The sequence below is a fragment of the Homo sapiens genome, chromosome 8 (genome assembly GCF_000001405.40).
Source record: "Homo sapiens chromosome 8, GRCh38.p14 Primary Assembly".
NCBI classification, from domain to species: domain Eukaryota; kingdom Metazoa; phylum Chordata; class Mammalia; order Primates; family Hominidae; genus Homo; species Homo sapiens.
The window spans coordinates 89,531,931-89,545,701 of NC_000008.11; the positions used below are offsets into that span (position 1 = coordinate 89,531,931).

Genomic DNA, 13,771 nt, shown 5'->3' on the forward strand with positions numbered 1-13,771 from the left:
TATCACAGCCATGATTATCTATGTTACCTGGCAAAAGATATTTTTTAGGTGTAGTTAAGTGTACTAAATTCATTGACCTTCAAATAGCGAGATTATCTGGATATGTTTAATATAATTACATTAGCCCCATAAAAGCAGAATTTTCTCAGACTTTCTCAGTAGAGGAATCCAAAGACATTTGAAGCATGAAAAACATAGATGCTTCTTGACTCACAACAGGGTAACCTCTCTCTAAACCCATCCTAAATTGAAAACACTGTAAGTTTAGAGTGCATTTTAGAGTTACAGTATTTTCTTTTTGTTATTATTATTATACTTTAAGTTTTAGGGTACATGTGCACAAGGTGCAGCTTTGTTACATATGTATACATGTGCCATGTTGGTGTGCTGCACCCATTAACTCATCATTTAGCATTAGGTATATCTCCTAATGCTATCCCCTCCCCCCTCCCCCCACCCCACAACAGTCCCCAGAGTGTGATGTTCCCCTTCCTGTGTCCATGTGTTCTCATTGTTCAATTCCCACCTATGAGTGAGAACATGTGGTGTTTGGTTTTTTGTCCTTGCGATAGTTTGCTGAGAATGATGATTTCCAGTTTCATCCATGTCCCTACAAAGGACATGAACTCATCATTTTTTATGGCTGCATAGTATTCCATGGTGTATATGTGCCACATTTTCTTAATCCAGTCTATCATTGTTGGACATTTGGGTTGGTTCCAAGTCTTTGCTAGTGTGAATAGAGCCGCAATAAACATACGTGTGCATGTGTCTTTATAGCATGATTTATAATCCTTTGGGTATATACCCAGTAATGGGATGGCTGGGTTAAATGGTATTTCTAGTTCTAGATCCCTGAGGAATCGCCACACTGACTTCCACAGGGGTTGAACTAGTTTACAGTCCCACCAACAGTGTAAAAGTGTTCCTATTTCTCCACATCCTCTCCAGCACCTGTTGTTTCCTGACTTTTTAATGATTGCCATTCTAACTGGTGTGAGATGGTAGTATTTTCAATTTAGTATGGGTTTATGTGGATGTAATCCCATGTAAATCGTGGAGTGCACTGAATGAATATCACTTTCACACCATTCTAGGGTTGCAAACTTTTAAGTCGAGCCATCATAATTCACGAACCATCTGCATTAGGTGAAGTATTGGGGCTATAAAATGGGGGTCGGGGTGACGAGTAATATAGGAGGCCACTCGACACTGAGCGCAACCCACCACCAGGGCTACCAGGACACAGAACTGAATTCTGCCAACAACCTGAATGAACTTGGAAGCAGATTCTTTGCCAAACCTTCTAGATAAAAGCTCAGCTGCCAACACCTTGATTTCAGCTATATGATAATCTGAGTATAGGACCCAGTTGCACGTCTTTCATGACTGTAAGCTAATGAATGGGTGTTCTTTAAAACCATTAAGTTCATTGTAATTTCTTAAGCAGAAATAGAAAACTAATATAGAAGTATACTTTGTAAAGTTCTTTCATTATCCACTAAATAAGATTATTTAAAGGTAACTTAATACTATTTGTGATTAAGTTAAGTGTGCATATTGGAAACCCTACAGCAATCACACCAGAAAAAGAGCTATACAGCCAGCAATCCAAGTTGACATAAAATGGAATATTACATACCCTCAACGAATCCCGAAAATGTCTGGAGTCATCTCAGAAGGGAGTAGGCGCTTTGCATGACCTGTTTTAGGACCAAAAAAAGTGCCTGGTATATAGCGGGCTGTCTCTAGACCTTTAGGAAATGGATGAGTGAATGAATGCATAAATGAAAAGTCAACTCCATATTCTAAGCAATATAAATCAATAAGTGGTTCTAGAACCAAAAATACCTAGATAAAGAAACATTTTAGACCATAAGCAGAATAATCAGAAGGGAAAAAACACTTAAACAGAGCAACCAGCCGATTTTGGGTTTTATTATTTATACCCAACCTGGTTCTAATACAGATTTAAGGCACCAGAGAACAGCTAAAACTCTGCTTTAATAAACTATGTGTGTAATAACTGTGAAAATAAAGAAGGAAAATGAAGTATATTATAAGCAAATGTAGAAGGACCCATTATAAATAAAAAGAAAGCACATACAAACTTCCTGCTTTTATAAGCAGAACATATGGGTTCTGTGCCTAGCACTACACAAACTATTTTTTGTCACCATGCTACACACAGTAAGAGAAATGCCTGTATATTTGCAAAAGTTGCAAATCTAATTCTAATATGCAAGGTCAAACAGCAGCCCGGAAATAGAAACTGAGGTTTGCAGAAAATGCTTATATCTCCAACTAATAATGCATAGTTCACGAGATAAGCCAACCTGATTTAGCTGAATCAGCTGGAGTTTTACAAACTCCACATTGCTCCTAGTTGATCACATTTAAGACAACCTTTCTGCCTATCATAATCTCTAATAAATGGTAGAGTGAAGGGTAAGGACAAAGGAACAAATGTATCTTAAATGTTTGTTTTGAATAGGAGAGGACATCACTGCAGACCTTACTGAAGTGCATGCAGCAGGTATATTTTGTTCCCTTCAGGAGAATTTCTGGCACAGGAGTATGTTCACAAGAATGTAGATTAATATGCTTGGAGTTTTGGCAGTGCTGTAGTTTATTCTGGATGTTACTGATTGAGATGTTTCAGTGATGCTGTATCCCAAATCCCAAACCTGCACATAATTGTGAAAACTGTTCATATATTCACATACTTCAGATAAGAATCAAAAATGTCTTGTTGACATTATTAAAATTTGGAGTCTTCCTTTTCTACTATTTCATATAACACTGCCTTTACATAGACCCATGGGAAAATGGAAGGTATATTTTACTCTCTGGATTTATAGAAGCTTGGTCTCCCTCTGACTCAGTGACTCTGGATCACTAATTAACAGCCAGGTGCTGGGTGTTTTACTAAAAAAACAAAGTGACTTCATTAAGTGCAAGCTTTTGAACAAAATACAATACACGTGCAGCCTCTTTTAAATTAGTTCTTCTGAAGCACCTCCTTCTCTAAGGATATCCCATTGGAAAAATGAGCACAATCCTTAACCAGATTGTACATAATTCACACTAATTAAACATGTCATTTATGGGCTTGAACCTATTACATCAAGTTATAAATTATGCAGTTTAAAAGCTGCATTAACTTTTTCTAGTGACTAGAAGCAAAGGAGAGGCTACTTAGCAGTTGTTTAATCAACAAACACAAGCTGAAATTTGTGGTCACGTTAAATATTTAGCTAGTGGCTTAGTTTTTAAGAGGCCACTTACCCAAAATAAAAAGGAAAAATGGCAAGATGGCCGAATAGGAACAGCTCCGGTCTACAGCTCCCAGCGTGAGCAACGCAGAAGACGGGTGATTTCTCCATTTCCATCAGAGGTACCGGGTTCATCTCACTAGGGAGTGCCAGACAGTGGGCACAGGTCAGTGGGTGCGCGCACCGTGCGCGAGCCGAAGCAGGGCGAGGCACTGCCTCACTTGGGAAGCGCCAGGGGTCAGGGAGTTCCCTTTCTGAGTCAAAGAAAGGGGTGACGGACGGCACCTGGAAAATCGGGTCACTCCCACCTGAATACTGCGCTTTTCCGACGGGCTTAAAAAACCGCGCACCACGAGATTATATCCCACACCTGGCTCGGAGGGTCCTACGCCCACGGAGTCTCACTGATTGCTAGCACAGCAGTCTGAGATCAAACTGCGAGGCGGCAGCCAGGCTGGGGGAGGGGCGCCCGCCATTACCCAGGCTTGATTAGGTAAACAAAGCAGCCTGGGAAGCTTGAACTGGGTGGAGCCCACCACAGCTCAAGGAGGCCTGCCTGCCTCTGTAGGCTCCACCTCTGGGGGCAGGGCACAGACAAACAAAAAGACAGCAGTAACCTCTGCAGACTTAAGTGTCCCTGTCTGACAGCTTTGAAGAGAGCAGTAGTTCTCCCAGCACGCAGCTGGAGATCTGAGAATGGGCAGACAGCCTCCTCAAGTGGGTCCCTGACCCCTGACCCCCGAGCAGCCTAACTGGGAGGCACCCCCCAGCAGGGGCACACTGACACCTCACACGGCAGGGTACTCCAACAGACCTGCAGCTGAGGGTCCTCTCTGTTAGAAGGAAAACTAACAAACAGAAAGGACATCCACACCAAAAACCCATCTGTACATCACCATCATCAAAGACCAAAAGTAGATAAAACCACAAAGATGGGGGAAAAAACAGAACAGAAAAACTAGAAACTCTAAAAAGCAGAGCGCCTCTCCTCCTCCAAAGGAACGCAGTTCCTCACCAGCAACGGAACAAAGGTGGATGGAGAATGACTTTGACGAGCTGAGAGAAGAAGGCTTCAGACGATGAAATTACTCTGAGCTACGGGAGGACATTCAAACCAAAGGCAAAGAAGTTGAAAACTTTGAAAAAAATTTAGAAGAATGTATAACTAGAATAACCAATACAGAGAAGTGCTTAAAGGAGCTGATGGAGCTGAAAACCAAGGCTAAAGAACTACGTGAAGAATGCAGAAGCCTCAGGAGCCGATGCGATCAACTGGAAGAAAGGGTATCAGCGATGGAAGATGAAATGAATGAAATGAAGCGAGAAGGGAAGTTTAGAGAAAAAAGAATAAAAAGAAATGAGCAAAGCCTCCAAGAAATATGGGACTATGTGAAAAGACTAAATCTACGTCTGATTGGTGTACCTGAAAGTGATGGGGAGAATGGAACCAAGTTGGAAAACACTCTGCTGGATATTATCCAGGAGAACTTCCCCAATCTAGCAAGGCAGGCCAACATTCAGATTCAGGAAATACAGAGAATGCCACAAAGATACTCCTCAAGAACAACAACTCCAAGACACATAATTGTCAGATTCACCAAAGTTGAAATGAAGGAAAAAATGTTAAGGGCAGCCAGAGAGAAAGGTCGGGTTACCCTCAAAGGGAAGCCCATCAGACTAACAGCCGATCTCTCGGCAGAAACCCTACAAGCCAGAAGAGAGTGGGGGCCAATATTCAACATTCTTAAAGAAAAGAATTTTCAACCCACAATTTCATATCCAGCCAAACTAAGCTTCATAAGTGAAGGAGAAATAAAATACTTTACAGACAAGCAAATGCTGAGAGATTTTGTCACCACTGGGCCTGCCTTACAAGAGCTCCTGAAGGAAGCACTAAACATGGAAAGGAACAACCGGTACCAGCCGCTGCAAAATCATGCCAAAATGTAAAGACCATCGAGACTAGGAAGAAACTGCATCAACTAACAAGCAAAATGACCAGCTAACATCATAATGACAGGATCAAATTCAAACATAACAATATTAACTTTAAATGTAAATGGACCAAATGCTCCAATTAAAAGACACAGACTGGCAAATTGGATAAAGAGTCAAGACCCATCAGTGTGCTGTATTCAGGAAACCCATCTCATGGGCAGAGACAAACATAGGCTCAAAATAAAAGGATGGAGGAAGATCTACCAAGCCAATGGAAAACAAAAAAAGGCAGGGGTTACAATCCTAGTCTCTGATAAAACAGACTTTAAACCAACAAAGATCAAAAGAGACAAAGAAGGCCATTACATAATGGTAAAGGGATCAATTCAACAAGAAGAGCTAACTATCCTAAATATATATGCACCCAATACAGGAGCACCCAGATTCATAAAGCAAGTCCTTAGAGACCTACAAAGGGACTTAGACTCCCACATATTAATAATGGGAGACTTTAACACCCCACTGTCAACATTAGACAGATCAACGAGACAGAAAGTCAACAAGGATACCCAGGAATTGAACTCAGCTCTGCACCAAGCAGACCTAATAGACATCTACAGAACTCTCCACCCCAAATCAACAGAATATACATTTTTTTCAGCACCACACCACACCTATTCCAAAATTGACCACATACTTGGAAGTAAAGCTCTCCTCAGCAAATGTAAAAGAACAGAAATTATAACAAACTATCTCTCAGACCACAGTGCAATCAAATTAGAACTCAGGATTAAGAATCTCACTCAAAACCGCTCAACTACATGGAAACTGAACAACCTGCTCCTGAATGACTACTGGATACATAACAAAATGAAGGCAGAAATAAAGGTGTTCTTTGAAACCAGCGAGAACAAAGACACAACATACCAGAATCTCTGGGACTCATTCAAAGCAGTGTGTAGAGGGAAATTTATAGCACTAAATGCCCACAAGAGAAAGCAGGAAAGATCCAAAATTGACACCCTAACATCACAATTAAAAGAACTAGAAAAGCAAGAGCAAACACATTCAAAAGCTAGCAGAAGGTAAGAAATAACTAAAATCAGAGCAGAACTGAAGGAAATACAGACACAAAAAACCTGGATTCAAAAAATTAATGAATCCAGGAGCTGGTTTTTTGAAAGGATCAACAAAATTGATAGACCGCTAGCAAGACTAATAAAGAAGAAAAGAGAGAAGAATCAAATAGACGCAATAAAAAATGATAAAGGGGATACCACCATCGATCCCACAGAAATACAAACTACCATCAGAGAATACTACAAACACCTCTATGCAAATAAACTAGAAAATCTAGAAGAAATGGATAAATTCCTGGACACATACACTCTCCCAAGACTAAACAAGGAAGAAGTTGAATCTCTGAATAGACCAATAACAGGAGCTGAAATTGTGGCAATGATCAATAGCCTACCAACCAAAAAGAGTCCAGGACCAGATGGATTCACAGCCGAATTCTACCAGAGGTACAAGAAGGAACTGGTACCATTCCTTCTGAAACTATTCCAATCAATAGAGAAAGAGGGAATCCTCCCTAACTCATTTTATGAGGCCAGCATCAGTCTGATACCAAAGCCAGGCAGGGATACAACAAAAAAAGAGAATTTTAGACCAATATCCTTGATGAACATTGATGCAAAAATCCTCAATAAAATACTGGCAAAACGAATCCAGCAGCATATCAAAAAGCTTATCCACCATGATCAAGTGGGCTTCATCCCTGGGATGCAAGGCTGGTTCAATATACGCAAATCAATAAATGTAATCCAGCATATAAACAGAGCCAAAGACAAAAACCACATGATTATCTCAATAGATGCAGAAAAAGCCTTTGACAAAATTCAACAACCCTTCATGCTAAAAACTCTCAATAAATTAGGTATTGATGGGACATATTTCAAAATAATAAGAGCTATCTATGACAAACCCACAGCCAGTATCATACTGAATGGGCAAAAACTGGAAGCATTCCCTTTGAAAACTGGCACAAGACAGGGATGCCTTCTCTCACCACTCCTATTCAACATAGTGTTGGAAGTTCTGGCCAGGGCAATGAGGCAGGAGAAGGAAATAAAGGGTATTCAATTAGGAAAAGAGGAAGTCAAATTGTCCCTGTTTGCAGACAACATGATTGTATATCTAGAAAACCCCATTGTCTCAGCCCAAAATCTCCTTAAGCTGATAAGCAACTTCAGCAAAGTCTCAGGATACAAAATCTATGTACAAAAATCACAAGCATTCTTATACACCAACAACAGACAGAGAGCCAAATCATGAGTGAACTCCCATTCACAATTGCTTCAAAGAGAATAAAATACCTAGGAATTCAACTTACAAGGGATGTGAAGGACCTCTTCAAGGAGAACTACAAACCACTGCTCCAGGAAATAAAAGAGGACACAAACAAATGGAAGAACATTCCATGCTCATGGGTAGGAAGAATCAATAGTGTGAAAATGGCCATAATGCCCAAGGTAATTTACAGATTCAATGCCATCCCCATCAAGCTACCAATGACTTTCTTCACAGAATTGGAAAAAACTACTTTAAAGTTCATATGGAACCAAAAAAGAGCCCGCATCGCCAAGTCAATCCTAAGCCAAAAGAACAAAGCTGGAGGCATCACACTACCTGACTTCAAACTATACTACAAGGCTACGGTAACCAAAACAGCATGGTACTGGTACCAAAACAGAGATATAGATAGATCAATGGAACAGAACAGAGCCCTCAGAAATAATGCCACATATCTACAACTATCTGATCTTTGACAAACCTGAGAAAAACAAGCAATGGGGAAAGGATTCCCTATTTAATAAATGGTGCTGGGAAAACTGGCTAGCCATATGTAGAAAGCTGAAACTGGATCCCTTCCTTACACCTTATACAAAAATCAATTCAAGATGGATTAAAGACTTAAACGTTAGACCTAAAACCATAAAAACCCTAGAAGAAAACCTAGGCATTACCATTCAGGACATAGGCATGGGCAAGGACTTCATGTCTAAAACACCAAAAGCAATGGCAACAAAAGACAAAATTGACAAATCGGATCTAATTAACCTAAAGAGCTTCTGCACAGCAAAAGAAACTGCCATCAGAGTGAACAGGCAACCTACAAAATGGGAGAAAATTTTCACAACCTACTCATCTGACAAAGGGCTAATATCCAGAATCTACAATGAACTCCAACAAATTTACAAGAAAAAAACAAACAACCCCATCAAAAAGTGGGTGAAGGACATGAACAGACACTTCTCAAAGGAAGACATTTATGCAGCCAAAAAGCACATGAAAAAATGCTCATCATCACTGGCCATCAGAGAAATGCAAATCAAAACCACAATGAGATACCATCTCACACCAGTTAGAATGGCAATCATTAAAAAGTCAGGAAACAACAGGTGCTGGAGAAGATGTGGAGAAATAGGAACACTTTTACACTGTTGGTAGGACTGTAAACTAGTTCAACCATTGTGGAAGTCAGTGTGGCGATTCCTCAGGGATCTAGAACTGGAAATACCATTTGACCCAGCAATCCCATTACTGGGTATATACCCAAAGGACTATAAATCATGCTGCTATAAAGACACATGCACACGTATATTTATTGTGGCACTATTCACAATAGCAAAGACTTGGAACCAACCCAAATGTCCAACAATGATAGACTGGATTAAGAAAATGTGGCACATATACACCATGGAATACTATGCGGCCATAAAAAAAAATGATGAGTTCATGTCCTTTGTAGGGACATGGATGAAATTGGAAATCATCATTCTCAGCAAACTATCGCAAGAACAAAAAACCAAACACCGCATATTCTCACTCATAGGTGGGAATTGAACAATGAGATCACATGGACACAGGAAGGGGAATATCACACTCTGGGGACTGTTGTGGGGTGGGGGGAGGGGGGAGGGATAGCATCGGGAGCTATACCTAATGCTAGATGACGAGTTAGTGGGTGCAGCGCACCAGCATGGCACATGTATACATATGTAACTAACCTGCACAATGTGCACATGTACCCTAAAACTTAAAGTATAATAAAAAAAAAAAAGGAAAAATGAATTTATAGATAATACCACCAAGCTTTGCTTGGCTTGAAACATAAGCATCATACAGTAACTAATATATGCAGTAATGTAATCCTCAACTATGTGCCTAGTATTGTGTAATATACTAGGGATATAAAGATGAAAAAGATATGATTCCTTCTCCCTATCACTTCCGGCCTAAAAAGGGAAAAGAACAACGTTATATATCAGTAAGCTCAGCAATTATGCTAGGTGCTCTGATGGAGGGCAGTGAGCAATGATCATAAGGAATATAACACATAAGGTAGGGCCTAAAATGTAATTATGCCTTTTGCAAGCACATGAAACTCAATGAACAAAGGCAGAATTGTGTGCAACAGGGAGGCCAGTCTGGAGAAGCATAGGACTGGGTGAGCAAGGAGAGAAAGATGAAAGAGGGACTGCTCTTTGATGAAGCAGAATCAGTAGATAGACAAGGATCAGAATGCAGAGGGCCTCAATAAGGATTTGTGACTTTCTCCTGTGGGAAAATGGGAAATATTGAAGAGTTTTAAACAGTTGAGCTTACATGACCAGAATTATGTATTAGAGAGTATCGTCACGACAATGTGGAGGCGGGACTGGGAAATGACAGACTATAGGTCAAGAAGAATTAAGTTAAATTAAAAGGCCAATTAAGAAACTTATTGTAATCATCAGGTGAGAGGGAGAAGGGCCTGAGCAAATGTAATAGCAGTGAGAATAAAAAACAAAGAGAAAAAGTTTTAAATTATGTTCAGTGAATAACTTCTAAGAATTGTTTTATTAAGAGTATTAGGTTCCTATAAATTCCTCAAGTGTAATATCGTTACATCATCATTAAAATTAGACTCTATTGACACAAATGGGCTTAATATTAACAATAATTATATTTATGCATAATTCTTCCAAATTAAGTTATTAAATATTTAAGATTCATGTGATGACCTTCTCATAAAATTTTACTTTTCTCTCATAAGCTAATTCCAACTCTAATCTTATATGCAAACCTCATTCAGACTAAAACTCATCTACCCATGTTTTAATTACCTGTTAGCTGCTTGTATACTAGACAGTAAAGAAAATAGCAAAATTCTACTGACTCTCCTACCTTTACAGTCATGCTCGTAGCCCACTTGCACTTGCTTTTACACTTACCAAGGCACTTCCCAAACATCGTCTAAATTAATCATCATTACCACCCCCAGAAGTAGACATTACAAACTTTAAAAAGTAGACACTCAGGCTGGGCGCAGTGACTCATGCCTGTAATCCCAGTGGGAGGCCGAGGCAGGTGGATCACCTGAGGTCAGGAGTTCAAGTCCAGCCTGACCAACATGGTGAAACCCATCTCTACTAAAAATACAGAATTAGCCGGGCATGATGGTACATGCCTGTAATCCCAGCTACTCAGAAAACTGGGGCAGGAGAATCGCTTGAATCTGGGAAGTGGAGGCTGCAGTGAGCCGAGATCATACCATTGCATTCCAGCCTGGGCAACAAGAGGGAAACTCTGTCTCAACAACAACAAAAATAACAGACACACAGAGATATTATGCAATTTGCTCAAAATCGCATGGCTAATAAATAAAAGGTCGTGCTGGAATTTAAACCCACACCACCTGATCACTAACATTCACTGAGCTCTCACGGGGTGTCATTGTTCAAAGTGCTTTACTCATATTATTTTAATCCTCACAAAACTCATATGAGGTATATGCTAGTGTACTTATTCCCATGCTCTGTAAAAACGAAAAGAGGAACAAAGAGCTTACATAAATTGCCCCAGGTCGCATAACCAGTAATAGGCAATACCAAGTTTCAGATACAGACCCCTGGACTAGAGAGGTCATATCCTTTACAATTAGTCCTGCTGTAAGCTGGCCTAACCACAACTACTTGCATTTGTTCCATCCTACATCAGAAGTAAACAGACTACTCGGCAAACCAAACATGGACATAATGTTGAATTATTCTCCCAGATCTGTAGCTAAACTATAGGTTCTTGTATTCCTTTCTCAGTACCCATAAGCTAAAACACTCCAAGCATTATCTGTACATTTCTGGCATAATACCATTACTTGACTCATTTCCAGTAAAAGAAAATTTGTCTCACAGTAATTTTATGAATTGATCCAAGTTTCTCTTAGTCCTACCTAATAAATAAAATAACTTATGGTCTATATTCAGTAGTTTCCACAATAATCATTTTACACAGTGTCACATAATTGTGATCTTATACAGATTACTTTCTGCAGAGGCTGAAATTACAAAATAGAAGAGTATCGGAACCAAAGATTTAAAACACATTTAAATAAAATATAATAAGATGTTGAAATACAAATATAAGTGGTTTTCACTACAGGAATTTTCAAAATTAGGGCATCAAAACAAGTAAAGAATACTGTCAATACCTAAAATTTTAGCAACTTCTTTCAATATTAAGTTTTTAAAGCCAATGTGCAAGAGAAACACAGAACATCTTTCTAATGCCCTGCTCTCCAGCATCCTTTCTTCCCTATTGCTAATAGCAGTAAGTAAGTTGTTTCTCATTTCATATATCTCTGTTGACACATTCATTTTACAAATTCCAGAGATCTGAGACAGACCTAGGGGCTGAATTTAATGGGCCCTGTGATGCAAGAGATTATAAGTACTGGCTGTTTACCGCCCTCCTTCAGCCTGGAGGATGGTCCTCCTGGTAGAGAGCCTCTCCCAGGTGGGTGCTGACTTCAGCTGGCGATTCTGTTTTTGCACATCCTTTGCCCTTCCTCCTCTTGTACCTTTTACCAAAAGCTTTGTGGACAGAGGGAGCGGTGGCCAGAACATCCTGAAATAAGATGAACAATTTGAGGAAGGAGAAGGAAGTGAGGAAGAATGCAGAAAGCAGTACCTAAAGAGAATCCAAAGGACTCTAAGTAGGGAATGCAGTCAGCATGTTTCAAGGCAGACTCCAAGTCTTTCAAGTTGGTTGTGTCTAAGCTTTGAAATCAGGGTATCTTGCTATTAAAAATATCAATTTGGTAAGATCACTGAAGGAATTCTTTAAATAGATTGTTTTCTTTTATAATTTCCTTTTATCATTAATTGCTTTCAACCTAAAATATGAACTTTGGGGGAAAAAAACACATGCTTTCTCACAGATAAAGCATCGAGTGATGGTAGAACTCTCTGCAGAGTGCACCCTCACTCCTTGGTCTGTGATCTCCAGTAAACTCCTTTCAAGTCCAAATCCTCAAGTACTTCACAAGCAAGAGAGGAACAATAGCAGCTACCTTATTGGGTATGAATATTAGATAATGAACATGAAGACCTTGATGCATAATAAATTCTCAATGCATGTCAGGAAAAGGAGGAGGAGGAAAAAGAAGATAGAAGTATTTTTCTTTTTTTCTTTTTTTTTCTGGAGATGGAGTCTTGCTCTGTCGCCCAGGCTGGAGTGCAGTGGTGTGATCTCGGCTCACTGCAAGCTCTGCCTCCTGGGTTCACACCATTCTCCTGCCTCAGCCTCCGAGTAGCTGGGACTACAGGCACCCACTACCACACCCGGCTAATTTTTTTGTATTTTTAGTAGAGATGGGGTTTCACCATGTTAGCCAGGATGGTCTCCATCTCCTGACCTCATGATCCGCCTGCCTTGGCCTCCCAAAGTAGAAGTATTTTTCTTATACATTCTTTTAGATTCTAGGTCAGAGTAGGATAAAAGGATTTGAAATATCCAATTCTGATTGAGAAGGTTATAAGGCAACATAATGTTTTTTATTTGAAAACTGAAGAATTAAAATGTGATCACTTTAAGATTTATACAAAAGTAATGGAGGGCTGGGCACAGTGGCTCATGCCTATAATCCCAGCACTTTGGGAGGCTGAGGCGGGCGGATCACGAGGTCAAGAGATCGAGACCATCCTGGCCAACATGGTGAAACACCGTCTCTACTAAAAATAGAAAAATTAGCTGGGCATGGTGGCACGCACCTGTAGTTAGTCCCAGCTACTCAGGAGGTTGAGGCAGGAGAATCGCTTGAACCCAGGAGGTGGAGGTTGCAGTGAGCCGAGATAGCGCCACTGCACTCCAGTCTGGCAACAGAGCAAGACTCCATCACACACACACACACACACACACACACACACACACACAAAGTAATGGAAGGACAACACATCAACATAAACATAGTTTATTTTGATTCATATAAATTAAGCTTTCAAATAATGATTAGTGTATACAGTTGACCCTTGAACAATATAGGGTTTAGGAGCACTGAACTCCTGTGCATCAAAAATTCTCACATAACTTTTGACTTCCCTAAAACTTAACTTAACATCCTACTGTTGATGAAACCCTTACAGAAAACATAAATGATTAACACATCTTTGTATTTTATATGTATTAATATTACACACTGTATTCTTAAATAAGATAAAGAAAAGAAAATTTTA

At 39.8% G+C, this 13,771-nt stretch overlaps 1 long non-coding RNA gene across 1 annotated transcript in view, besides 1 other annotated feature; it reads right to left on the reverse strand.

Annotated features, from left to right (window-relative positions):
- LOC105375631 (LINE-1 retrotransposable element ORF2 protein-like) overlaps window positions 1–3,789 on the reverse strand; it is a 30,905-nt gene extending 27,116 nt beyond the window's left edge. Inside the window, exons 1-2 of the long non-coding RNA XR_002956667.2 lie at window positions 3,289–3,789; window positions 1–1,703 (exon numbers count right to left, since the gene is read on the reverse strand). The exon at window positions 1–1,703 is cut by the window's left edge and continues 27,116 nt beyond it. This is a non-coding gene — a long non-coding RNA (LINE-1 retrotransposable element ORF2 protein-like). The remainder of the gene's footprint in view (window positions 1,704–3,288) is intronic.
- Window positions 3,480–4,031: an enhancer, noted in NCBI's record as "H3K27ac-H3K4me1 hESC enhancer chr8:90547639-90548190 (GRCh37/hg19 assembly coordinates)". NCBI's record gives its function as "activates a minimal SCP1, AML or CMV promoter by ChIP-STARR-seq in naive H9 embryonic stem cells {active_cell/tissue: H9 hESC(naive)}" and the evidence as "EXISTENCE:reporter gene assay evidence [ECO:0000049][PMID:30033119]".